At 47.8% G+C, this 25894-nt stretch overlaps 1 protein-coding gene and 1 pseudogene across 6 annotated transcripts, besides 2 other annotated features; both read left to right on the plus strand.

Annotated features, from left to right (window-relative positions):
• HMGB3 (high mobility group box 3) lies at window positions 2275–12539 on the plus strand. 6 transcript variants are annotated; one of them, NM_001440774.1, is made up of 6 exons: window positions 5103–5359; window positions 6799–6912; window positions 7363–7517; window positions 7819–7958; window positions 8896–9070; window positions 9545–12539. In NM_001440774.1, exons 3-6 carry the CDS (start codon window positions 7368–7370, stop codon window positions 9680–9682), a joined length of 603 nt encoding a protein of 200 aa, NP_001427703.1. In that variant the 5' UTR covers window positions 5103–5359; window positions 6799–6912; window positions 7363–7367; the 3' UTR covers window positions 9683–12539. The 6 variants fall into 6 exon arrangements, with proteins under 6 accessions (NP_001288160.1, NP_001427703.1, NP_001288157.1 ...); NM_001301231.2 differs by lacking the exons at window positions 5103–5359; window positions 6799–6912 and adding an exon at window positions 2275–2412; NM_001301228.2 differs by lacking the exon at window positions 6799–6912.
• Window positions 4117–4812: an enhancer, noted in NCBI's record as "H3K27ac hESC enhancer chrX:150150822-150151517 (GRCh37/hg19 assembly coordinates)". NCBI's record gives its function as "activates a minimal SCP1, AML or CMV promoter by ChIP-STARR-seq in primed H9 embryonic stem cells {active_cell/tissue: H9 hESC(primed)}" and the evidence as "EXISTENCE:reporter gene assay evidence [ECO:0000049][PMID:30033119]".
• Window positions 4934–5133: a silencer, noted in NCBI's record as "silent region_21055". NCBI's record gives its function as "represses an Ori minimal core promoter by ATAC-STARR-seq in GM12878 lymphoblastoid cells {active_cell/tissue: GM12878}" and the evidence as "EXISTENCE:reporter gene assay evidence [ECO:0000049][PMID:35858748]".
• Window positions 15233–15943, plus strand: RPL19P21 (ribosomal protein L19 pseudogene 21; annotated as a pseudogene).

Below are 25894 nucleotides of genomic sequence, written 5' to 3' on the forward strand. Positions count from 1 at the left end.
GATACAGGGTCTCACTCCAGGTTGGAGTGCAGTGGCACGATCTCGGCTCACTGCAACCTCTGCCTCCCGGGTTCAAGCAATTCTCGTGCTTCAGCCTCCCCACCTCGGCCTCCCAAAGTGCTGAGATTACAGGCATGAGCCACCTCGTCCAGCCTATTTCTTTGTTTTGAGACAAGGTCTCGCTATATTGACCAGGCTGGTCTGGAACTCCTTGCCTCAAGTGATCCTCCCGCTTCAGCCTCCCAAACTGCTGGGATTACAGATGTAAGCCACTGCATCTGGTTCATATATATATATATATTTGAGATGAGATCTCACCTTGTTGCCCAGGCTGGTCTCGAGCTCCTGGGCTCAACCAGTCTTCCCACTTCAGCCTCTCAGCCTCTCAAGTAGCTGGGACTACAAGTGGGTGCCACTACACCTGGCTTCCCTTAATATATTTTGTTCAACAATCCCATTCCACCCCTACCCCCCAAATCCACTCTGTCTACACTTCCATTGATTTTTTTAGATGGGGGTCTCACTATGTTGCCCAGGCTGGTCTCAAACTCCTAGCCTCAGGTGATCCTCCTGCCTTGGCCTCCCAAAGTGCTGGGTTTACAGGCGTGATTCCTTTTTTTTTTTTTTTTTTTTTCCCCTGAGACAGAGTCTCACTCTGTCACCCAAGCTGGAGTTCAGTGGTACGATCTTGGCTCACTGCAACCTGTGCATCCTGGGTTCAAGCAATTCTCTGCCTCAGCCTCCTGAGTAGCCGGGATTACAGGTGCCCATCACCACGCCCAGCTAATTTTTGTATTTTTAGTAGAGATGGGGTTTCGCCATGTTGGCCAGGCTGGTCTCGAACTCCTGACCTCAGGTGATCCACCCACCTTGGCCTCCCCAAGTGCTGAGATTACAGGCGTGAGCCACCACATTTGGCCTACAGGCATGATTCTTTTTTTTTTTCTTTTTCTTTTTTTTGAGACGGAGTCTCACACTGTCACCCAGGCTGGAGTGCAGTGGCGCCATCTCTGCTCACTGCAACCTCAGCCTCTCAGGTTCAAGCGATTCTCCCCCCTGAGCCTCCTGAGTAGCTGGGATTACAGGCAGGTGCCACCACACCAGGCTAATTTTTGTATTTTTAGTAGAGATGGGATTTCACCTTGTTGGCCAGGCTGGTCTTGAACTCCTGACCTCAGGTGATCTGCCCACCATGGCCTCCCAAAGTGCTGGGATTACAGGCGTGAGCCACCGCACCCGGCCAGGCATGATTCTTAAAAGGAGGCTGGGTTGGCCCAAGGTACTCAAATGAAGACTTTGGGAACTGTGGGAGGGTGGGTGGAGTGTGTAGGCAGTGGGCCAGGGGACCAGGGTTTCATTTTTGTTGAACGATGAGGATTCCCCTTAGTCTTTTAGGGGCCTTGAACTGACAGGAACTGAAAACCTCTTTAAATAGCATTTGCCACACTTCATCCCATTTCTTATTTAATGTTTTCGTAACTTCTCTAGGCAGCCAAGCAGCTTAAGGGATTCTGGTTTGAGGTTCTCCTGTGTGGATGGGCTTTGCCTGTTTCCAGGTAGGGCCCGGGCAGAGGCCTAGAGTATCCTTCATTCCCTCAAGCCCTTGCACGCTGACCTGGGTGCTGCTGCTGGAGGTATCCTCAAGCTAACGGGCATTGAGCTTTGCTGCAGAGAAGGCAGCCTGCCTTGGGCTCCCTGAGTCTAGGGTGTGCCCAGGCATCCCTGGCTTTCTGTCACCTTTTCTTTCTTTTTTTCACCTTCCAAACTAGTCTTTAGGCCTCTCCTGGTTGGCCTTTGACTGGTGACAAGCAGACCGTCTTCACTCAGTCTCCCTCACCACCAAGACTGGCAGTGGTCTGGGTGGATGAGGCGGGTGGAATCACCTTTGATAGAGGACACTGAGGCTCGGAGCCCTCAGGTGACATGTGAAAAGGCATACCAGGAAATCAGTGACAGAGCCCAAAGCCTCTATCTTGTCCCTTCCTTCCAGCCTTACTCCCCACTCCATCTCATCTCCCTTCTGTTACTGATTAGTAGACATGCAATACATATACATGAAAGTTTCTGCTAAGGCAGGAGCCCACTGGGCCACAGGCCTTGCTCAGGCATGTCGCCGCACACGGGCAGGTGTTAAGGAGAAAATCTGGCTGTGAGGAGCCTCCATTGGTAGGTGGGTGGCTGGGGGGATGGGGAGGAGCAGGGAGCCATCTTTGGATCTCTGTCACTCAGTGATGTCATAGTCATGTTCTGTGAGTTCATGTTCTGACGATGACCAGTTTGTAGTTCAGCTTCAGGCCAAGTGCTTCAGCTCCATATAAGAGGTAGCTTTCTTGAGAGCAGAGATCGAAATATTTCCTATGCAAAGGATGGAAATACTTCCTGCGCGTAAGCGCAATCCTTTCATCATTCGAAGTATGTGGGGAGAAATAGATGGTCAATGGGCAGGGTTGGGGCAGTGGGGCAGGGAAGCATGGATCTTGAGGGTGGCAACTGGGGGCCAGTTTGGGTTGGGAGATGCTCTTATTTCTCTGGTTTGCCCTTGAAGCTGCTGCCTCTGGGAATGCCCTGGGTGTGCCCATACGTGAGTACGTGTATACATGTGCTGCTTGTGAGTTGGCATGGGCTTGTGTGACCCTTGTCATCCATCCAAGGGCCCACCACCCTGGTTCCCCCACCAAGGTGCCTGCCAACTGTGCCGTGTCACTTGCCACTGTGGGCAGTTGCTGGGCAGTAGCTGGACCCCAACTTGAATCTCTGGTCTAGAAAGGCCTGGCAACCTTGAGAGGCTAGGGTGCTCTGGCAGAGGCGAGGTATTGGTCAGATCACTTGTGGAAACCCTGCTCCCCTCTAGGCCTTGTGGAGACAGGGGAAGAGGGAGTGGCTTGGGCAGGTCAGGCCCTGGGAAACTGCTTGTAGAAGGAGCAGGGAGGGGCTGTCTGTCTGGAGAAAAGGCCTGGCCTGCCATGAACTATCTGAAGGGTGAGGGATTACCCTGTGTGGAGATGTTGACCTTAAGGCTCAGAGGTGGCTGGAGATGGAAGGAACTGCCATGAAGGAAGATGGTAAGCTCCCTATGAGTGGAGGTATGCAAGCAGAAGGCAGGCAACCACTAAGCTGGTTCTAACAGGACAGAGGGATGGATGAGGTGGCCTTAAGATCTCTGAACTCCTGAGTCTGTAGTGGGGACCTGGGTTAGTGACACAATACCTGCCTGCTCTTGTCAAAAGCAGCACTATCTCTGCCTTTTTTTTTTTTTTTTCGGAGTCTTGCTCTGTTGCCCAGGCTGGAGTGCAGTAGCATGATCTTGGCTCACTGCAACCTCCACCTCCCAGGTTAAAGCGATTCTCCTGCCTCAGCCTCCTACAGGCATGCATCACCACACCTGGCTAATTTTTTTGTATTTTTAGTAGAGACGGGGCTTCATCAGATTGGCCAGGCTGGTCTTGAACTCCTGATCTCGTGATCCGCCTGCCTCAGCCTCCCAAAGTACTGGAATTACAGGCATGAGCCACCGCGCTTGGCCTCTATCTTTGCCTTTTGATCTGGATTGGAACCTTGATGATGGGAGCCAACAGCACCAGCTTCAGGGGCTCAGGCTTGGCTGGGAGGCTCAGAGGAGTTGGTAAGAGGGGGCGTAGGGGTGAAGAAGCAGGTGCCCTGTGAAGCCAGATCCTTTGCACACCTCAAACTCAGCCACGGTTTCTGGAAGCAGCATTTGGAAAATTCATGTTCTGGTGGGGCTTATTTCTGAATATAGGACTCATAAATAGCTGGATCTCTTGGCCTTTCAAAGAAAAGAAAAACCAAACTCATGACATCTCTTCCTTTGCATTATTTTCTCCAACTGTCAATCTTTAAACTGCTCTTTTTCTCACCCTTTCATTCTTTCCAGGCAAGGGCCCTCAGATACTTTCTTTCCAAATAGGGCTGATACTTGCATTTGAAGTGGAGTATTTCTTCCTTGCGTGGGACTGTCCTATGCAATGTAGGATATTTAGTATCCCCGGCCGTTCCTTCCTCTTATTGAATTCCAGCAACACCTGCCAGTCATCCAGGCACCGGCCCCACGAATTTCAGAACATCCCTTACAGAAGTGACACTGCGGCTCCTATACTTTGAAAAACATTGCCTGAATCCCCAAAGAAGTGACTAGCTCAAGGCCATACCACCAGCCAATGGCAAAGTGGAGATCAAGTCAAATCCCATTCATTCATTCATTCACTCATTCATTCCCGAAGCTTTAATTCTTTGCTCTAGGGTGTGTCAGGAGAGCAGAGGGAATGAGGGCCTTGAACCGAGACAGTGAAGAGGGTAAGAAGAAAAGTGTTATTCTTTGCCCACAAAACTACAATTTCTCACAAATTCTCTGCTCTTGCCAAATTTTGTTTTCCTCTTTTAGCCCGTCGGTTCCGCAATTTCGGGCGCAAATAAAGACCTTCTGGCATTTAGTGGAAAGAGCCTAGTTGAGCACGATCCGCAGAAGCGGAATCAGGTGGCTTTCGGATAGGCAGCGAGATCCGAGGACTAAATCCCGAGGTCTTGGCGAGCAAGCAGCTGCCCTCCGCCAGGCATCGAGGAGCGAGCTGCCGCCGCGTTTCTGTCGCGGCGCCGCGGCCGAACCGGGTAGAGGTGGTCTACCATCGGCCCTTCGTGGTGGGCCCAGGGGTGTTTCCCCGGGCAGGGGAGCTGACTGCAGGCCAGGGGCGCCAAGGCCGCGGTGCGGTGGGAGCAGAGGGCAGCGCAGCGGGGCTGGACTTCATCTTCCCACGCCAGAGGCCGAGGCCTCCGGGAATCGCAGGGCCACCTCTTCAAAGCCCTTGGCGATCCCAGTTCTGTTCCCCGAGGGGGCTGGCGAGGTGGGCGGGGCGGGCAGGCGAGACTAGGTCTTTCCCTGTTTGGCCTCCGTAGCCGGCGCCGGCGGGTCGTTCTGTTTGAATGAATGATCCCAGCAGCCGCGCCCAATGGGCGTCCACGCCTGCTTAATATGCATGAGGCCCGCAGCCAATGGCCAGGCGAGGAGGCTGTTTTAAACGGCAGAGCCCGCTGGCCAATCAGGCGGCTCTCGTGGAGGCAGCTAGCGCGAGGCTGGGGAGCGCTGAGCCGCGCGTCGTGCCCTGCGCTGCCCAGACTAGCGAACAATACAGGTACGTCTCGCACCGCCCGCTCCCGCCGCCGCCGCCGCCGCCGCCGCCGCCGCCGCCGCCGCCGCCGCCGCCGCCGCAGCGCCCGCACAACTTTCCGGCCCGCGCCGCCGTGAGCGCGCCCTGCCGCCGCCTCCCCCTGCCTCTACTCCCCATTCCCTTCCCGCCCCCTCCGCCTTCCCTCCTGCTAGGCGGCCGGGAAGGAAGAAGCAATTCAGGTGTTTCAACTTTTCCAACGCGTTCCCCGAGCTCCCCGCTTTCGGGGGTCGGCCCCCTCGGCGGACGCCCGCCCGTGGCGGCCCCAGGGGCCGCAGCCGGGAACCCAGGGCCCCCGAGGCCAGATGTTTGGGCAGCTGCGGCTGCGGCGGCTGGGCGAGCAGAGGGGCGGCTGCGGGCTGTGGGCGCTGGGCGGCGGCAGCGGGAAGGGGGCCGGGAGTTCCCCGGCCCGCGACGGACTCCGCTGGGGAACGGGCGGCCGGTGCCCGCCGGGGGCTGCGCGGCTGGTGCCCGCCGGGGGCCGCCGCACGGGCAAACTTCGCTCCCGGGCTTGGCCCGGCGCCGCGCGGGCCCGCAGGCTACGCCGCTGGCTCTGCGTTAACATGGCCGTCGCGGAGCGCCCGGTGGCCCGGGGGGGCGCGGGCCGGCCGCCCCCCTCTCGCCTCCCGCCCGCCCGGCGCCGCCGCCGCCGCTAACATGGCTGGCGCGGCGCTGGCCTCCGGCGAGGGCAGGGGAGGCGGGCGGAGCGGTCGGCGGGGCGCCCGGCGGGCTCCGGCCTCGGCCCCGGCGCCCGCGGCCCGGGGCGGGCGGCTCGGAGGGCCGGGGGCGCCGCTGCGGGCCCTGGAGCGGCCGAGCGTCATGGCTGCACGGGCGCCTTTGTTATCCCGAGGAGTGCGCCCCGCGCCGGGGGGCGGGGAGGTCCGGCCCGGGCCCCCGAGCCCCCGGGCGGCCCGGGCGGGGCGGGGCGGGGCGGGGTGGGGGCCGACGGGCGGGCGGCGGCGGCGGGGCCCGGGCCGCTTTGTTCGCCGCTGTCGCCGCCGCCCGCGCCGGCCGCGCGCGGATCAGCCATTTTAGCGAGTGGGACTCCGAGGCGCGGCGGACGCCGCCACCAGTGCCGCGGCTGCCGCCGGCCCGGCCGCACACCCCCCGCGCACCGCCACCGCCGCCGCCCCCGGCCCCGCGCGTCCCCCGGGGATGACAGCGGCGGATTTCAGGGGCACTTTCTTTCATCAGGAGGCTTTTGACAAAATGGAAGGTGAATTACGGGTGTCCCGGTGACCCGGCACGGGGGCCGAGGCGGGCTGCCTGCTGCCGGCCGGGACTCCCCCGCTCCCGGTCCCGCCCCGCCCGGGCCGCCGCTGCGGGTCTCTGTTGGGCAGCCTCCTGGGCGGCTGCTGCCAAGGGGAGCTCTTTAGTTTTACATGATGACCTTGGGTGTGGGAAAAGGAAAAGATGGCGGGAAGCTGGGGGGTGGGACAGGGACGATGACATGCCGCAGCTGCATTTTTATTTGGAAACTTTGGAGAAAGTGTTCTCGGCTGGACCTGCATTCTGGGTTACAGATGAGCACGACTAGCCCTTTTTATACACCCTCCCCCTTTAGATAGTGACGAAGTGATGAATTGAACTAATAGTACGGGGGTACCTGCTCACTTTCCAGATCTCCCGTGTTGTAAAGCCGTTTTTTTAGTAAGCCAAAACACATCAACAATAGTGACAATTTCAGATGTCCCCTACGTATAGTTCTCCTGCTTTGGTCTTGTGTTCAGCAGTGGTAAGAGTTGTTGTTTTTAATTGTGTTAACAGTTAGCAGATGACCAGATAGTCTTAAGTCATAGATTTCAAGCTTCTATCACCCCCACCAAATGTGTCCTCTCTCTACCCTTCCCACTTTGTGATTGTAGTTTCCAAAACATAGCAGTTCTGTAAACGTAACACTGAGTACCCTACTTGGGTCGGCTCCATTTGGAGCACTTGATCGCTTTTGAGAAGTAACTCGCAAACCAGCGCGCTTCGTGCTGGTCAAAAGTTAAATGACAAGCGACAATGAAGCTGATTTCTTTCCTACTCTGCCTTCTGCCACTGGTGTCCGGCATTGGGGGAAGGGGACTTCCTAACAGCAAGTGTAGTTTTAGTTTTGCTCTGCCTTTGGTACGTCTTGTACTTCTTGTCAATTCCTCCTTGCTTTTCCTCATTGTATTTCTTTGTTTCTCTTTTATCACAGTCAGGATGGCTAAAGGTGACCCCAAGAAACCAAAGGGCAAGATGTCCGCTTATGCCTTCTTTGTGCAGACATGCAGAGAAGAACATAAGAAGAAAAACCCAGAGGTCCCTGTCAATTTTGCGGAATTTTCCAAGAAGTGCTCTGAGAGGTGGAAGGTATTTTTCTTTGGTACCCTTCAAACTAGTCTTAGTTGGGTTTCTTACTTTGGGGTTACTTACCTTCAGATTTTCTCCCAGATAGCTGCTTGCTTCCTCTTTTACTTTTACTTAGAATCATTTTTGCTTGTCTTAAGAATTTTGTGTGTGTGCTTTTATTTTTTTAAGGCCCTGCACAGGTTTCAGGCCTTTACCTACCCCCTTTTGCAAGTGGTTCTAGCAACTGCTAGTTTAATCACAAGAAACTGAATAGGTATGTGTTCACTGCATCGAGGGATTTAACGAGTCCTGTTCTTTGCAGACGATGTCCGGGAAAGAGAAATCTAAATTTGATGAAATGGCAAAGGCAGATAAAGTGCGCTATGATCGGGAAATGAAGGATTATGGACCAGCTAAGGGAGGCAAGAAGAAGAAGGATCCTAATGCTCCCAAAAGGCCACCGTAAGTGACTATAGGATTCAAGATAACAATTAATACCTTTTCTTCTGCTTGGAGGATTTGGTTTTTTGGTCGTCCTGTATTTCATTTCAAAATGAAATATTTTTTAAAAGATACTTAAAAGATGGCAATACCTCTGCAAACCATTCTGTACTTGGGCTTTACGATGCAGTGCCAGCGTTGTCTGTGGTTAAGGCTGAAGTGTTTGTGGGCTGTGCTTGCACATTCACAGTGGTTGTCTGTTGGCCTTTCCATTGTGAAGGAGGCACTCTAGTTTTGGTTGTCAGGGTCCTTGAAGTATGTTCTTTATGCCTTTCCTAGTAATTGAAAGACTGGGACAGCACCATATATATATGCGCGTATATATACGCATATGTATTATATATGCATACACACACACAGAGCACCATATATATATGCGCGTATATATACGCATATATTTTATATATGCATACACACACACACGCATACATATTTGAGATGGAGTTTCGCTCTTGACCAGGCTGGAGTGCAAGGTGTGATCTTGGCTCACTGCAACCTCCACCTCCTGGGTTCAAGTGATTCTCCTGCCTCAGCCTCCTGAGTAGCTGGGATTACAGACATGCACCACCATGCCCGGCTAATTTTTTTTATATTTTTAGTAGAGACGGGGTTTCTCCATGTTGGTCAGGCTGGTCTGAAACTCCCAACCTCAGGTGATCCGCCTGCCTCGGCCTCCCAAAGTGCTGGAATTACAGGCGTGAGCCGCGCACCACATATTTTTCTAACCTTATATATTTTAGAACCTACAACTTTGTAGCATTGTATATGGTATCATAGATTACTTCACTTTAGGGAGAAGTCATAGTGGTAGGAGGGAGATGCTTCTCAGGAATGTGGGATTTCAACTTTAACTCAAATTTTTTGTGGTTTCTCATGTAATGTATGTAATTCTTCCAAGGTCTGGATTCTTCCTGTTCTGTTCAGAATTCCGCCCCAAGATCAAATCCACAAACCCCGGCATCTCTATTGGAGACGTGGCAAAAAAGCTGGGTGAGATGTGGAATAATTTAAATGACAGTGAAAAGCAGCCTTACATCACTAAGGCGGCAAAGCTGAAGGAGAAGTATGAGAAGGTAAGGTGGGGCTGGAAGCCTGGACTGGTGAACAGGCAGTGGTTCTGCTATCAGTAGGTTGCAGGGCATGTGGCAGCTTTGCTGGGCTGAGTACTTAGCATAGCGCTCAAGGGCCCATCCCCCTGCAAGGTAGCTACGGGTGCTGGTGTTCATGCTTTTTTTTGACAGGTCTTTGTTTTGGGGACAACTTCAGGCTTGAAAAATTTTCCTTACTCTTTAAGGAAAAAAAAATGTTAACAGAGGATTTGATAGTCCTACTAATGTGACTTGAAGGACACTTGAACACCCACTAACTTTTAAATTCGAATGGCTAAGAACCAAATTCATATATGGAAACACTTCAGATATATATGATAGCAGCACTGTCTTACTTGATTTCAATTCCTGTCCTCTTACCTGAGATGAGGACTGCATGTTTCTACTTTGTGTTAAAACAGCCGCATACTCATTTGAAATGTGTCCCTGTTCCTCTAGGATGTTGCTGACTATAAGTCGAAAGGAAAGTTTGATGGTGCAAAGGGTCCTGCTAAAGTTGCCCGGAAAAAGGTGGAAGAGGAAGATGAAGAAGAGGAGGAGGAAGAAGAGGAGGAGGAGGAGGAGGAGGATGAATAAAGAAACTGTTTATCTGTCTCCTTGTGAATACTTAGAGTAGGGGAGCGCCGTAATTGACACATCTCTTATTTGAGAAGTGTCTGTTGCCCTCATTAGGTTTAATTACAAAATTTGATCACGATCATATTGTAGTCTCTCAAAGTGCTCTAGAAATTGTCAGTGGTTTACATGAAGTGGCCATGGGTGTCTGGAGCACCCTGAAACTGTATCAAAGTTGTACATATTTCCAAACATTTTTAAAATGAAAAGGCACTCTCGTGTTCTCCTCACTCTGTGCACTTTGCTGTTGGTGTGACAAGGCATTTAAAGATGTTTCTGGCATTTTCTTTTTATTTGTAAGGTGGTGGTAACTATGGTTATTGGCTAGAAATCCTGAGTTTTCAACTGTATATATCTATAGTTTGTAAAAAGAACAAAACAACCGAGACAAACCCTTGATGCTCCTTGCTCGGCGTTGAGGCTGTGGGGAAGATGCCTTTTGGGAGAGGCTGTAGCTCAGGGCGTGCACTGTGAGGCTGGACCTGTTGACTCTGCAGGGGGCATCCATTTAGCTTCAGGTTGTCTTGTTTCTGTATATAGTGACATAGCATTCTGCTGCCATCTTAGCTGTGGACAAAGGGGGGTCAGCTGGCATGAGAATATTTTTTTTTTTTAAGTGCGGTAGTTTTTAAACTGTTTGTTTTTAAACAAACTATAGAACTCTTCATTGTCAGCAAAGCAAAGAGTCACTGCATCAATGAAAGTTCAAGAACCTCCTGTACTTAAACACGATTCGCAACGTTCTGTTATTTTTTTTGTATGTTTAGAATGCTGAAATGTTTTTGAAGTTAAATAAACAGTATTACATTTTTAAAACTCTTCTCTATTATAACAGTCAATTTCTGACTCACAGCAGTGAACAAACCCCCACTCCATTGTATTTGGAGACTGGCCTCCCTATAAATGTGGTAGCTTCTTTTATTACTCAGTGGCCAGCTCACTTAGGGCTGAGATGAAGGAGAGGGCTACTTGAAGCTACTGTGTGATTTTGTTTGTGTCTGAGTGGCATTCAGATGAAGTCTGGAGGAGTTAGGAGAACGACATAGGCAAGGTTCAGCAGCCTTCCAAGGTATAGGAAGGTGGGTGATTAGGACTGAGGCTATCTAGGTTTAACTTTTGTCCCACCTCCACCCCCTATTTTGTGGGGCCAAATGCATTGCTAAACAGCAATTTCAGAGTGTATGGTGTGTCAAAAATTAAGGCCTTATTGTTTTTCTCTTTCACCCCTACCCCCCGTGCTCCTGGCACATATCACATTATTTGTGGTGCCCAACATTTGGGGTCTTGAGCCTGCTGCTGGTCTCCTGGATGCCAGTGAGGGTATGTGGGATGGGGTGGTGGGGTAGGGGACGGTATCCTTTTTTTGCTCCTACTTGGAAACACCAAACACCCCAAGGAAGATGATAGGCTCCATCTTGGGCCACCTGAGCTATAGGGCAGGCTAATGGAATCAACCATTTCTGAGCACTAAATGTATCATGAAAAGTTGAATGGCCTGCTCATAAGTTTAGCTCATTCACTGGAAATGTAGATTGATGTTCAATGTTAAACTGGAAGGAGCTTGGTTTGTGTGTCAGTGGTTATATTAGTGGGTAGTGTAACATTTTATCCAGGTTGGGGTGAGGGGAGATGGCCACAGTAGCAAGTGGTGACACTAAATACCATTTTGAAGGCTGATGTGTATATACATCATTACTGTCCGTAGCAATGAAGGATACAGTACTGTGTTGTGGGTGAGTGTTGCTATTGCCCAGCATTAATATTTGGGTGTGTATGTTTGAGGCTATGAAACACGCAGGAGTGTTTTTGTGCTATTAATTTTAAGAGAAAGCAGCTTTTTCTTAAAATTCACTGTTGAGAAACTTGCATGTCTGGAGGCGGTGTCCTCTCCGCCCTGTCGGGTCCTGGATGAGTACGAGTTATGGTCACGGTCACAGCCTGATCTCTTATGTGTTCATAGCCATTCGCTCTCCCATCAGAACTGTTTGTCCTGAATGTGTTCCTCTAGTTCTAGAAAATGACCACTAATTTAAAAAACTCGGTTGTGAGGTTTGCCCAGAGGCACTTGTTCCAGAATTTCCCCTCCTGCTTCAGCCATGTCCTTGTCACTTGGCATTCTAAGCTAAAGCTTTAGCTTCCCAATTCGTGATGTGCTAGGCCAAGATTCGGGAGCTGTTGCCAGCCTCGTCAAATATGGAAGAGAAACAACCTGCGGTCAAAAGGGAGTGATTTGTTAAGTGGTGCGCGTCTATCTCATAACTAGATGTACCAACCAGGGAAGGGCCAAGGATGGAAAGGGGTAACTTTTGTGCTTCCAAAGTAGCTAAGCAGAAGTGGGGGAGCAGTTTAGCCAGATGATCTTTGATTAGGCAAACATTGAGTTTTAAAGAGGCTGTCAAGTTGAGGCCACTTGGTCCATTAGCTGGGGCAGCAAGATCACTACTCAACGTTTTCACACTGTGGCAAGATTGCTCTTCTAGTGGAATAATGCCCTAGTTTCTCTGAGATGATGTAAGTGGCATGATGTTACCTAAGGCTTAGGCTTAGCTTGATTTCTGGGCCCACTGTCTGTGTTCTTAAGATGCCAACCTGTTGCTTTTTTTTTTTTTTTCCCCCATTTAAAAGGATAGTACCTACTCCCTCTAACCACCTCACCCCATTCTTGAATGACATTTTATCCTTCGGAAAGAACAAGGCTGTGATGTAGTGACTATTGTCTGTGTCTCCTGTGTGTGTCTGTTCTTGTCACAAATGTATTTGGGGACGTTGGATGCATTCATTTTCTGTAATAAAGTTTCTTAATCACTCTTCCCAAAAAGTAATCAGTGGGCTGTCTGCGATCTGTCTGAGATACTGAACCTCTGTACTTTTGGTTGATTATCATCAAGGTTTTAGAAGTGCAAACTTTGTGGTAACCATAGATCTGAACTACTAACATTTAGTGGAATGATACCATCAAAATGACTTAAGTGTTAAGGACTCCAAAGCCCCAAGATCAACCTCCTGGCCCGAGGCATAAGGGGGAGTTGGCTCTGAAGCCCTGGACCAGGATAAATAGGCAATTTGCAGGATGCTAACGAGCTACTATTTGATAAAGTGGTTGGGTACTTGTAATCAGCCAGCCCTGCCCACAGGGCTCCTCGAGGCCAAGGGTCTGGGCTTAGTTGGCTGACTCAGCCATGCCCAACAAGGAGTTCTGGAGGAGAGCCACAGGGACCGCTTGCTGTTCTTGGCTCCCAGCTCAGTTTTCTGTGGAGCCCAAGGCTACCTGGTAAGGAAAGGCCATTGAGCCAGCTTGGCGGCCCCAAGCTTCCCTTACTGCTTCAACCAGAGCAGCCTCCCACCCTGTTTTATATGTTGGGCATCCTACGATTTCAGCTTTCAAAAGAAGCTGGGATACCATATCAATAAAAGGAAAAAGACACACATGATCATCTCAATAGACACAAAAACCTTGACAAACACTTTCATGATAAAAACAAGGGTAGAAGGGAACTTCCTCAACCTGATATAGGACGTTTAGGAAAACCCATGGGTTTATTCATGATTGTACTAGAAGTTCTAGCCAGGGCAATTAGGCAAAAGAAAAAGAAAACATCCAGACTGAAATTGAGAAGACAAAGCTATGTCTATTTGTAGATGATATGACCTTGTATACAGATAACCGTAAGGAATCTCCAAATAAAACTGCTAGAAAAATGAATTGATCATCTGCAGTATACAAGATTAACATACAAAAACTAGTATTTCTATATACCAGCCATGAACAATCTGAAACTAAGAAAACATTCTCTTAAATATCTACAATAACATCAAAAAGAATAAAATATTTAGGAATGAACAATATAAGTGCAAAACTTACATGGGGAAAAGTACAAAACATTAAAGACCTAAGGAAATAGACATTCCACGTTCATGAATGGGAAGGTTTAATATTGTTAAGATGGCAATACTCCTGAAATTGATCTAGAACGCAATCTCTATTAGAATCCCAGCTGGCTTCCTCTAGTAGAAATCAGGCTGATTCTAAATGTCATATAGAAATTCAAGAGATGCAGGAGATACCCAGATCAATCTTGAAAACAGTTGGAGGATTCACATTTCTTGATTTCAAAACTACTTTATTAAAACTTTTTTTTTTTTTTTGAGACAGAGTCTTGCTCTGTTGTCCAGGCTATTGTGCAGTGGCACAATCACAGCTCATTGCAGCTTCAACCTCCCAGGCTCAAGGCATCCTTCCACCTCATCCTCCCAGGTAACTGGGACTACAAGTAGCACCACCGCACCTGGCTAATTTAATTTCTTTTAGAGGCAGGGTCTCACTGTGTTGCCCAGGCTGGTCACAAACTCCTGGACTCGATCCTCCTGCCTCGACCTCCCAAAGTGTAGGGATTACAGCACACCTGTAAGCCACTGCACCTGGCCTGATTTGAAAACTTACAACAAAGCCAGGTGCAGTGGCTCATGCCCGTAATCCCAGCACTTTGGGAGGCCGAGGCAGGTGGGTCACTTAAGGTCAAGTGTTCAAGACCAGCCTGGCCAACATGATGAAACCCCATCTCTACTAAAAATACAAAAAAAAAAAAAAAATTCCAGGCATGGTGGTGCATGCCTGTAGTTTCAGCTACTCTGGCCGGAGGTTGAGGCAGGAGAATCGCTTGAACCCAGGAGGCGGAGGTTGCAGTGAGCCAAGACTGTGGCCACTGCACTCTAACCTGGGCAACAGAGTGACTGAGACTCCGTCTCAAAAAAACAAAAACAAACAAAAAACCCAAAAACTTAAAGCTACAATAATCAAGACGGTGTAGTACCAGCATAAGGACAGACATATAGGCCAATACAATTGTGAGTCCAGAAATGAACCCAGACATTTGTGGCCAACTGATTTTTCAATGGGGATAAAAATAACATTCAATGGGGGAAATAATTTTCAACAAATGATGTTGGGACAACTGGATATCCATGTGCAAAGGAATGAATTTTGACCCTTCCCTCACAGCACATTCAAAAATCAATTCAAAATAGATGAAAGACCCAAATGTAAGAGCTACAACTATAAAATTCTTAGTAGGAAACATAAGTGTGAATTTCATGACCTTGGATTTGGCAATAGTTTCTTAGGACACCAAAAGCATGTGCAACTAAAGAAAACAATAGATAAGTTGAACTTCATTAAAATTAAAACAAACAAAACATTTGTGCTTCAAACAGTACCACCAGGAAAGTGAAAAGACAACCTACAGAATGGGGGAAAATATTTGCACAACGTATATCCTATAGGGATCTAGTATTCAAAATATATAAAGGACTATTACAACTCAGCAATAAAAAGACAACCCAATTTAAAAAATGAGCAAAAGATCTTAACAGACATTTCTCCAAAGAAGATGTATAAATGGCCAATAAACACATGAAAAATCCTCAGCATCATTAGTCATCAAGAAATTTAAATCAAGACTATAATAGGATACTACTTAACACCCACTAGGATGGTTATAATAATGATAAAAAAGGGAGCTCTTTCCTTTCGCTGCTGCGACTACAGCCATGAGTATGCTCAGGCTTCAGAAGAGGCTCGCCTCTAGTGTCCTTCGCTGTGGCAAGAAGAAGGTGTGGTTGGACCCCAATAAGACCAATGAAATCGCCAATGCCAATTCCCATCAGCAGATCTGGAAGCTGATCAAAGATGGGCTGATCATCCGCAAGCCTGTGACGGTCCATTCCCGGGCTCGATGCCAGAAAAACACCTTGGCCCACTGGAAGGGCAGGCACATAGGCATAGATAAGTGAAAGGGTACAGCCAATGCCCGAATGCCAGAGAAGGTCACGTGGATGAAGAGAATGAGGATTCTGCACCTGCTGCTCAGAAGATACTGTGAATCTAAGAAGATTGATCGCCACATGTATCACAGCCTGTACCTGAAGGTGCAGGGGAATGTGTTCACAAACAAGCCGATTCTCATGGAACACAGCCACAAGCTGAAGGCAGACAAGGCTCACAAGAAGCTCCTGGCTGACCAGGCTGAGGCCCGCAGGCCTAAGACCAAGGAAGCACGGAAGCGCAGTGAAGAGCGCCTCCAGGCCAAGAAGGAGGAGATCATCAAGACTTTGTTCAAGGAGGAAGACACCAAGAAATAAAAGCTCGCCTTTTGTCTGTACATACTGGCCTCCGTGAATACATAGATCAGCCATTAAAATAAAACAAGCCTTTATCTGCTTGCCAAAAAAAAAAAAAAAAGATAAAAAAGGAAAATAACTAGTATTGGTGAGGACGTAGAGAAATTACAGTCCTGGTACATTGCAGGTGGGAATGTAAAATGGTGCAGTCGCTATGGGAAACAGCTTGGAGATTTCTCAATAAGTTAAACATAGAATTACCATATGGCTCATCAGTTCCACTCCTAGGTATACAGCCAAAATAATTGAAAACAGGTATTCAAACAAATACTTGTACATGAATATTCATGTACATAATTTTTTTTTTTCTCTGTCACCCAGGCTGGAGTGTAATGGCACGATCTTGGCTCACCGCAACCTCCGCCTTCCGGGTTCAAGCGAATCTCCTGCCTCAGCCTCCCGAGTAGCTGAGATTACAAGCACGCACCACCACATCCGGCTAATTTTGTATTTTAAGTAGAGACAGGGTTTCACCATGTTGGTCAGGCTGGTCTTGAACTCCTGACCTCAGGTGATCCGCCCGCCTTGACCTCCCAAAGCGCTGGGATTACAGGCATGAGCCACCATGTCTGGCCTCATGTACATAATTTTTTTTTTTTTTGTGGACAGAGTCTCGCTCTGTCGCCCAGGCTGAAGTGCAGTGGCGCGATCTCAGCTCACTGCAACCTCTGCCTCCCGGGTTCACGCCATTCTCCTGCCTCAGCCTCCCGAGTAGCTGGGACTACAGGTGCCTGCCACCATGCCAGGCTAATTTTTTGTATTTTTAGTAGAGACGGGGTTTCACCATGTTAGCCAGGATGGTCTCAATCTCCTGACCTCATGATCCGCCTGCCTCGGCCTCCCAAAGTGCTGGGATTACAGTTGTGAGCCACCGTGCCTGGCTCATGTACATAATTCTTAATAGCCAAAAAGTGGAAACAACCCAAATGTCCATCAAGTGATGAGTGGATAAAATGTGTTATATCCATATGAAGAAATATTGTTCAGCCATAAAAAGGAATGAAGTACTGATACATGTTACAACATAGATGAACTTTGAAATAATTATGCTAAATAAGCCAGTCACAAAAAATTACATATTGCATGATTCCATTTATATGAAATGTCCATAACAGGTAAATCTATACAGAAAGAAAATAGGCCGGGTGCAGTGGCTCATGCCTGTAATCCCAGCACTTTGGGAGGCAGAGGCAGGCGGATCATGAGGTCAAGAGATCGAGACCATCCTGGCCAACATAGTGAAACCCCGTCTCTACTAAAAATACAAAACTTAGCCGGATGTGGTGGCGTGCACTTGTAGTCCCAGCTACTCGGGAGGCTGAGGCAAGAGAATCGCTCGAACCCGGGAGACAGAGGTTGCAGTGAGCCGAGATTGAGCCACTGCACTCCAGCCTGGTGACAGAGCGAGACTCTGTCTCAAAAAAAAAAAATAGATTAGGGGTTACCTAGGGCTTGGAGTTATTTGGGGGAAATGGAGACTCACTGCTAATAGGTACAGAGGTTTTTGGTGGATAATAAAAATGTTCCATAATTAGTGGTAATGGTTTACAACTCTGAAGTTTCTAAATATTTTACATTTTTAAATTTAATTTTTTTTTGTTTTTGAGATGGAGTCTTGCTCTGTCACCCAGGCTGGAGTTCAGTGGCGTGATCTTGGCTCACTGCAACCCCCACCTCCTGGGTTCAAGCAGATTCTCCTGCCTCAGCCTCTCAAGTAGCTGGGACTACAGGCATGCACCACCATGCCTGGCTAAGTTTTGTATTTTTAGCAGAGACCGGGTTTCACCATGTTAGTCATGCTGGTCTTGAATTCCTGACCTCAAGTGATCCGACCGCCTCGGCCTCCCAAAGTGCTAGGATTACAGGCATGAGCCACCACACCCAGCCTTATTTATTTATTTATTTAGAGACAGTCTCACTCTCTCTCCCAGGCTGGAGTGCAGTGGTGTGATCTTGGCTCACTGCAACCTCTGCCTGCCGAGTTCAAGTGATTCTGCTGCCTCAGCCTCCCATGTGGCTGGGATTACAGGCGCCCGCCACCATGACGAGCTAATTTTTGTATTTTTAGTAGTGACGGGGTTTCACCATATTGGCCAGGCTGGTCTCAAACTCCTGACCTCAAGTGATCCACCTGCCTTGGCCTCCCTGAGTGCTGAGATTACAGGCGTGAGCCACCGAGTCTGGCCTAAAAAATGTACACTTTAAATGGGTGAATTTTATGGAATGTGAATTATACGTGTTGGCTTGTAAAAAAAAATGATGGAGATGGAGACGTGACTCTAGCGTGAAGGGGGTGGGGAGAGTAGATCTAGAGTGGAGACACCACTTTTAGGAGGTATGATCATGAAAGGGAGGGAAGAGAGAGAGAGAGAGGGAGGGGAAGCACGGTACGGAGTGAGGAGCAGAAGCAGGTTGGCTTGTTTGCTTGTTCTTGTTTTTGCGTTTGTTTCTGAGAAAGGATCTTGCTGTCACTCAGGCTGGAGTACAGTGGCACAATCACAGGTTACTGCAGCCTCAGCCTCCTGGGCTGAGGAGATCCTCCCACCTCAGCCTCCTGAGTAGCTGGGACTACAGGCACGAACCATCATGCCTGGCTAATTTTGTTACTTTTTTGTAGAGATGGGGTCTTACTATGTTTCCTAGGCTGGTCTTGAACTCCTGGGCTCAAATGGTCCTCCTGTCTTGGCCTCCCAAAGTGCTGGGGTTACTGGCCTGTTTTTGTTTCAAGATAGCCGAGACTTTAGAAGTTGTGATCAGTGAGGACATTACCTGTACGTTACCAGACCAGGCCTCTTCCTTGAGCTCCAGGCCCAGAGATCCAATTGCCTCTTTGAGATACCACCTGGATGGCCCATTGGCACCTCTAACTCCACATGTTTAAACCTAAGCTCATCATCTTCATCTTTTCCCAAATGTTTTCTTCACCCAGCCTGGCTCTTCCTTTTCTCACCCTTCATAGTCAGTTCCCAAATCCTGCCAATTGTGTTTCCTAAAATATCATGCATCTACCCCTCTCATTCATGCTGTCAGTGTAGGTGAATCCCTCATCTGTAAATTCTCCCATGCTTTCTTTCTTTTTCTTTCTTTCTTTCTTTTTTTTTTTTTTTTTTTTTTTGAGACGGAGTCTTGCTCTGTCATCCAGGCTGGAGCACAGTGACACGATACTGGCTCACTGCAGCCTCTGCCTCCTGGGTTCCGGCGATTCTCCTGCCTCAGCCTCCTGGGTAGCTGGGATTACAGGCACCTGCCACCATGCCTGGCTAATTTTTGTATTTTTAGTAGAGACAGGGTTTCACCATGTTGGCTAGGCTGGTCTGAAACTACTGAGCTCGGGTGATCCGCCCGCCTCAGCCTCCCAAAGTGCTGGAATTACAGGCGTGAGCCATTGCACCCCGCCAGGCTCCCATGCTTTCTTATTTATTTATTATTTTTTTTCATTAGTTCTTCTTCTTCTTCTTCTTTTTTCCCCCTGTCTTATGCTTTCTTAGGGATAGACTAGAACTTGCATTTTCAGGCTTTTACCCTCCGTGGGAATTTCTGGCTTAAATGCATGCCCTGGTGACATCTGTTATGGTGCCATCTTACCAGGATGTCACAACTGGAGATGTACTGTAGCTCAGGTCCTTACTGTCTTTTGTCTGGATGAATATAAGAGCTTCCCAAATGATTTCCCTGTTTTCCCCTTTCCCTAGTCTATTCCCAGAACTAGTATAGCTACTGACAGTTGGTGCTCAAGAAATATTTATTGAATAAGTGATTAAATGAGTGAATAAATAGGGACAGATCAGGGGAAAGTTCAGCAGTTGTAGACCATGCAGGGCATTATAGGCCATCTTAAGAATTTTGAACTTTCCTATGATCAATGGAAAGCATTTATTTAAGAATTTTCATATGGGGGGATGTGAGGAGTGGTGGATAGTGATGTGATCAGTTATGTATTGTAGTTAAATTCCTCTGGTAGCTGTGAGGGGAACTGATTAGAAGACATGGGGAGGGGCAAAAGTGGAAGCAGGCTCTCAGGATAAGCCTACTGCTACAAAGAACAATCCTCATTCTAAGTGACTTAAAGCAATAAAAGATTTACTTCTCAGTGACGTTACAGTCCAATAGGAAATTTGGCAGGCAGCCTTTTACATTGTGATTTAGGGATCCCAGATTCTTCCATTTTGTTGTGCCACCATCTTCAACCCATGTCCTTCATGCCACTGTAGAATGGGTTTTAGGGCTAGCCCCAGAAATGTCATTATATCACTCTTGCCCACATCCCATGGTCCCCAGCTGAATTGCAAGAGCAGTTTGGAGATGTGGTCATTCTGTGTGCTTAGGGAGAGAATGAAATGGATTTGTGAACACATAGCATTGTTTCTGCCATTCAGGGAGATGGGATTGAGGTGTTTGTGGGAGTCTAGATGAGAGATGCTGGGGGCTCGTATAAGAATGGCAACGTTGAGGATATAGAAAAGTAGACGGATTCAAGAGATACTAGGCTTATTCATCCCACATAACTGCAACTTACCCACCCCTCACCCCTGGCTTCTGGTAGCCACCATTCTATTATTCTACGTATTTAAAAAAAAATACTCCACCTATAAGTGGGATCATGCAGTATTTGCCTTTCTGTTCCCGGCTTATTTCACTTAACATAATGCCCTTAACAATTTCATTCATATTGTTGCAAAGGACAGAATTTTCTTTTTTTAAAGACTGGATAATATTCCATTGTGTATAATTACCACATTTTTTTTTTGAGATGGAATCTCTCTCTCTGTCACCCAGGCTGGAGTGTAGTGACGTGATCTCGGCTCACTGCAACCTCCACCTCCCGGGTTCAAGCTATTCTCCTGCCTCAGTCTCCCAAGTAACTGGGATTACAAGTGTGCACAGCCATACCTGGCTAATTTTTGTATTTTTAGTAGAGACGGGGTTTCACCATGTTGGCCAGGCTGGTCTTGAACTCCTGACCTCAAGTGATCCGCCTGCCTTGGCCTCCCAAAGTGCTGGGATTACAGGCGTGAGCCACCGCACCAGCACATTTTCTTTATCCATTCATTGATCAAGGGACACTTAGGCTGATTCCATATCTTGGTTATTGTGAATACTGCTGCAATGAACATGAGAGTGCAGGCATCCCTACCAGGTACCGACTATTTCCTTTGGGTATATGCCTAGAAGTGGGATTGCTGGGTTATGTGATAGTTGTATTTTTAATTTTTTGAGGAAGAGCCATGCTGTTTTCCATCCATCATGGCTGTGCCAATTTACATTCCCATCAACAATGTACAAGAGTTCCCTTTCTCCACTCTTGCCAGTACTTCTTTTTTTTTTTTTTTTTTTTGGAAAATAGTGATCCAAAGAATTTCGAGGTGATATCTCATTGTGGTTGCAAAGGTTCCCTTTTCTCCACACTCTCACCAATACTTGTTATCTCTTGTCTTTTTGATAATAGCTATCCTAACAGGTGTGAGGTGATAGGTTGCATTGTGTAGGATGAATATGTCTAGAGAGCAGCTAATGTACAGTAAAGGACTATAGTTAATAATATTGTATTATTTACTGGAATTTTGTCAAGAGAGTAGATTTTAGGTGTTCTTACCAGGAAAAAAAGTTAACTATGTGAGATGATGGATACATTAATTGGCTTGAGTGTTTTAACTAAGTATATGTATATAAGTATATACATTTAACTAAGTATATGTGTATCAGAACATCATGTTGTGTACCTTAAATATATACAATAATTATACAATTTTTAAAAAGTTATTCACACTGAAAAAAAAAAGGGCAAGAGAGCATTTAGGAAATAAGGATTGCTGGAACTTGGTGGGGGATTGGATGTGGGGGATGAGGAAGAAGGAGAAGTTAAAAGTGAGTCCAGGCCGGGCATGGTGGCTAACGCCTGTAATCCCAGCACTTTGGGAGGCCGAGGTGGGTGGATCACCTGAGGTCGGGAGTTTGAGACCAGCCTGACCAACATAGAGAAACCCCCATCTCTAGTAAAAATACAAAATTAGCTGGGCGTGGTGGTGGGCACCTGTAATCCCAGCTACTCGGGAGGCTGAGGCAGGAGAATCGCTTGAACCTGGGAGGCGGAAGTTGTGGTGAGCCGAGATCGAGCCATTGCACTCCAGCCTGGGCAACAAGAGCAAAACTCCGTCACAAAAAAAAAAAAAAAAAAAAAAGGAGTCTAGTTTTCTCTCCTGGGGCACTGGAGGGATTGTGGAGTCTTTCAAAAAGATAAAGCCCTGGAAGGGCACTGTGGCTCACACCTGTAATCCCAGCACTTCGGAAGGCCGAAGGGGGAGGATTGCTTGAGCACAGGAGTTTGAGACCAGCCTGTAGCAAGACCCCATCTCTACAAAAAATACAAAAAACAAAACAAACAAAAATAGTTGGGCATGGTGGCATGCGCCTGTGGCCCCAACTACTTTGGAGGCTGGGGTGAGAGGATGACTTGAGCCCAGGAGATCAAGACTGCAGTGAGCTGTGATCCCACCACTGTGCTCGAGCCTGGGTGGCAGAGTGAGACCCTGTCTCAAACAAAACAAAACAAAACAAACGGAAAAAGAAAAAAGAGCCAAGAGGAGAAGCATTGAGGGGGGATCATCTCCAGGCTGTGCAGTGTTCAGAAAGAGTAGCAGGTCCAAGTTCACACTTCTCCGGAGGGAAAGGTTTGTAACTTGGAATCACAGACCATTTGTGCTGTCAGTCTAAGCAGATCTCCCTTTCCCTCTTAAGACTTGATTTGAATGTGCATTTTCAGGCTATTTCCCACAAGTTTCCCTCTAGGGAAATCTCCTGCTTCTACATCCTGGTGCGATCCGTCTGCTATGGTACAGTCTTATGAGGGTGTCAGAGCTAGAAATTTCCCTGGAGGGAAATTAAATCCTTTGGGCTAGAAGGGGGATTTCCCCTTCCACACTCACACTTTTGTTTCTAAACTGGGAGCATTTGTGGAAAACCTCAAAAAACCTTTCTGTTTTTGGTCTCAGGCCCCAGTTGGTTTTGTCAATCCACGTAGGAAATATGAGATGCACATTTTTCTAGGCTGTGTATTTTGTTCCAGGCCTGTGGTGGGTTTTTGTTTGAAAAGTCTTTTGGAAGCATGTCAGCGGCGATACTGTGGCAATGTTGAACACAAAATTTGACAGTTCCCATTGCAAGATGTGTAGAACATATGATGCTTTTGTCCTCTGTCCAAACCCTCACTAGTTTACATGAAAAAGGGCTGATATTTCAGTGATGAAACATTAGCAGAAGGCTGAAATATGTCACTTAAAAATACTGGGCTAGCCATGATTTTTTTTTTCTTTTTTTTTTTTTGAGACGGAGTCTCGCTCTGTTGCCCAGGTTGGAGTGCAGTGGTGGGATTTCGGCTCACTGCAAGCTCTGCCTCCCGGGTTAATGCCATTCTCCTGCCTCAGCCTCCCGAGTAGATGGGACTACAGGTGCCCGCCACCACACCCAGCTAATTTTTTGTTTTTTTTATTAGAGATGGGGTTTCACTGTGTTAGCCAGGATGGTTTCGATCTCCTGAACTTGTGATCTGCCTGCCTTAGCCTCCCAAAGTGCTGGGATTACAGGCGTGAGCCACTGCGCCCCGCCAGCCATTATTTTTTTTTTAATCCTCTTTTGCTGTAGCTGCTTTTAACTTCTATATCAAGAACTCTCTTCTGCATATATTTAATTTATTAAATAAAAGAAGCTGATTGAGGAGCATAATCCCCAAAGTTTCTACCTCAATTTAGACATTGAAGATCATCCTAAGACTAAGAGGCCTCATGGGATTGTAGAATAAACATCAAGTAGTGCAGTGCCTATAAAGCAGGAAGAGCAAGAATATGGATTCCCCTTCCTCATGCTGCTCGTACCCCAAACTCCCAACTCCAGGAATGAGAAGGTCTGGGTTTTAGAGAGGTTAAGTGACTTGTCTAAGGTTACACAGATAGCTGGGAGTAGAGCTAGGATTCAAACTGATACCCATTGACTCCAAAGCCTGTGAACTATGTCTATAGAGTACATACTATGTGCCAAGCCTCCCACTGGAAGCTGAGGATATGGAAATCGTGGCACTGTGTCATGATCCTGGCCTTCGAGTAATTCATAGACTGCTGCAGTGAAACAGACAATTAAAACGCAGTGTGATAATTGTGCTGATAGAAGTCAGCCAAGGCTGGGTGCGGTGGCTCACACCTGTAATCCCAGCAGTTTGGGAGGCTGAGGTGGGCGGATCATGAGGTCAGGAGTTCAAGGCTAGCCTGGCCAACATGGTGAAACCCCGTCTCTATGAAAAATACAAAAATCAGCCAGGCATGGTGGCAGGCACCTGTAATCCCAGCTACTCAGGAGACTGAGGCAGGAGAATCACTTGAACCTGGGAGGCAGAGGTTGCAGTGAGCCGAGATTATGTCATTGCACTCCAGCCTGGTCAACAAGAGCGAAACTCCATCTCAAAAAAAAAAGTCAGCCAAGGCTCCTAGATAGTAACTAGATAGTAAGGAAGTGGAACAATTTATGCAGTGCCCCATTAGGGAAGTCTTCCTGGAGGAGGAGATGCCTGAGCTATTTGTTAAAGGTAGAAGGGTTAGCCAAATGAAGAACAATGGGAAGAGCACATGCAAAGACACAGGAGAAACACAGTGTGTACTGGGAAAGTCCAAGTAGTTTCCTTTCTTGGGAACTGTATTAGTTATTTATTGCTGCGTGACAAATTACCCCACATTTTAGTGACTTAAAATAATATTTATTATCTTACAGCTGTGTGTGTGTCAGGAATCCACTGCTTAGCTGGATCCTTTGGTTTGAGGTCTGTAATCAAGGTATTGGCCAGGGTTGCTGTCATCTCAAAGCTTGACTGGAGGAGGATTGCTTCCAAGTTCACTCACATGATTCTAGGCAGTGTTCAGTTTCTTTCTTTCCTTCTTTTTTCTTTCTTTCTTTTTTTCTTTCTTTCTCTTTCTTTCTTTCTCTCTCTCTCTCCTTCCTTCCTTCCATCTGTTTTGCTTGCTTTTTCTTTTTTTTTCTTTTTTTTGAGACAGAATCTTGCTCTGTCGCCCAGGCTGGAGTGCAGTGGCGCGATCTCAGCTCACTGCAAGCTCTGCCTCTCGGGTTCACGCCATTCTCCTGCCTCAGCCTCCCAAGTAGCTGGGACTACAGGTGCCCGCCACCACGCCAGGCTAATTTTTTTTTTTTTTTTGTATTTTTTTGTATTTTGTATTTTTAGTAGAGACGGGGTTTCACTGTGTTAGCCAGGAGAGTCTATCTCCTGACCTCGTGATCTGCCTGCCTCAGCCTCCCAAAATGCAGGGATTGCAGGCGTGAGCCAGTGTGCCTGGCCTTCTTTCTTTCTTTTGTTTCTTTGTCTTTTTTCTTTCTTGCTTCCTTTCTTTTTTTTTTTTTTTGAGACAGAATCTCACTCTGTCACCCAGGCTGGAGTGCAATGGCATGATCTCGGCTCACTGCAACCTCTACCTCCCCAGTTCAAGCGATTCTCCTGCCTCAGCCTCCGAGTATCTGGGATTACAGGCGTGCACAACCTCGCCCAGCTAATCTTTGTATTTTTAGTAGAGACGGGGGTTTCACCATGTTGTTCAGGCTGGTCTCGACCGCCTGATCTCAGGTGATCTGCCAGCCTTGGCCTCCCACAGTGCTGGGATAACAGGTGTGAGCCACCACACCCAGTCTCTCTCTCTCACTTTTTTTTTTTTTTTTTTGCAACAGGGTCTTTCTCTGTTGTCCAGCTTGGAGTGCAGTGGTGCAATCACGGCTCGCTGCAGCCTCAACCTCCTGGGCTCAAGGGATCCTCCTGCCTCAGCCTCCCGAGGAGCTGGGACCCCAGGCCCAGGTCACTACAACTGGCTAATTTATTTTTTATTTTTGTAGAGACAAGGTCTTGCCATGTTGCCCAGGCTGGTCTTGAACTCCTGGGCTCAAATAATCCACTTACTTTGGCCTCCTCAAATGCTGGAATTATAGGGGTGAGCCACCATGCCTGGCCCA

This window comes from Homo sapiens, chromosome X, assembly GCF_000001405.40.
Source record: "Homo sapiens chromosome X, GRCh38.p14 Primary Assembly".
Classification (NCBI taxonomy): Eukaryota; Metazoa; Chordata; class Mammalia; order Primates; family Hominidae; genus Homo; species Homo sapiens.

Bases quoted from the DNA above. Each gene is read 5' to 3' on its own strand.
- HMGB3 (NM_001440773.1), top strand. From the start codon at position 6,333: ATGACAGCGGCGGATTTCAGGGGCACTTTCTTTCATCAGGAGGCTTTT. The intron at 6,394-7,362 runs GTGAATTACGGG...CTTTTATCACAG, and splicing joins GGCTTTTGACAAAATGGAAG to TCAGGATGGCTAAAGGTGAC. The intron at 7,959-8,895 runs GTAAGTGACTAT...AATTCTTCCAAG, and splicing joins AATGCTCCCAAAAGGCCACC to GTCTGGATTCTTCCTGTTCT.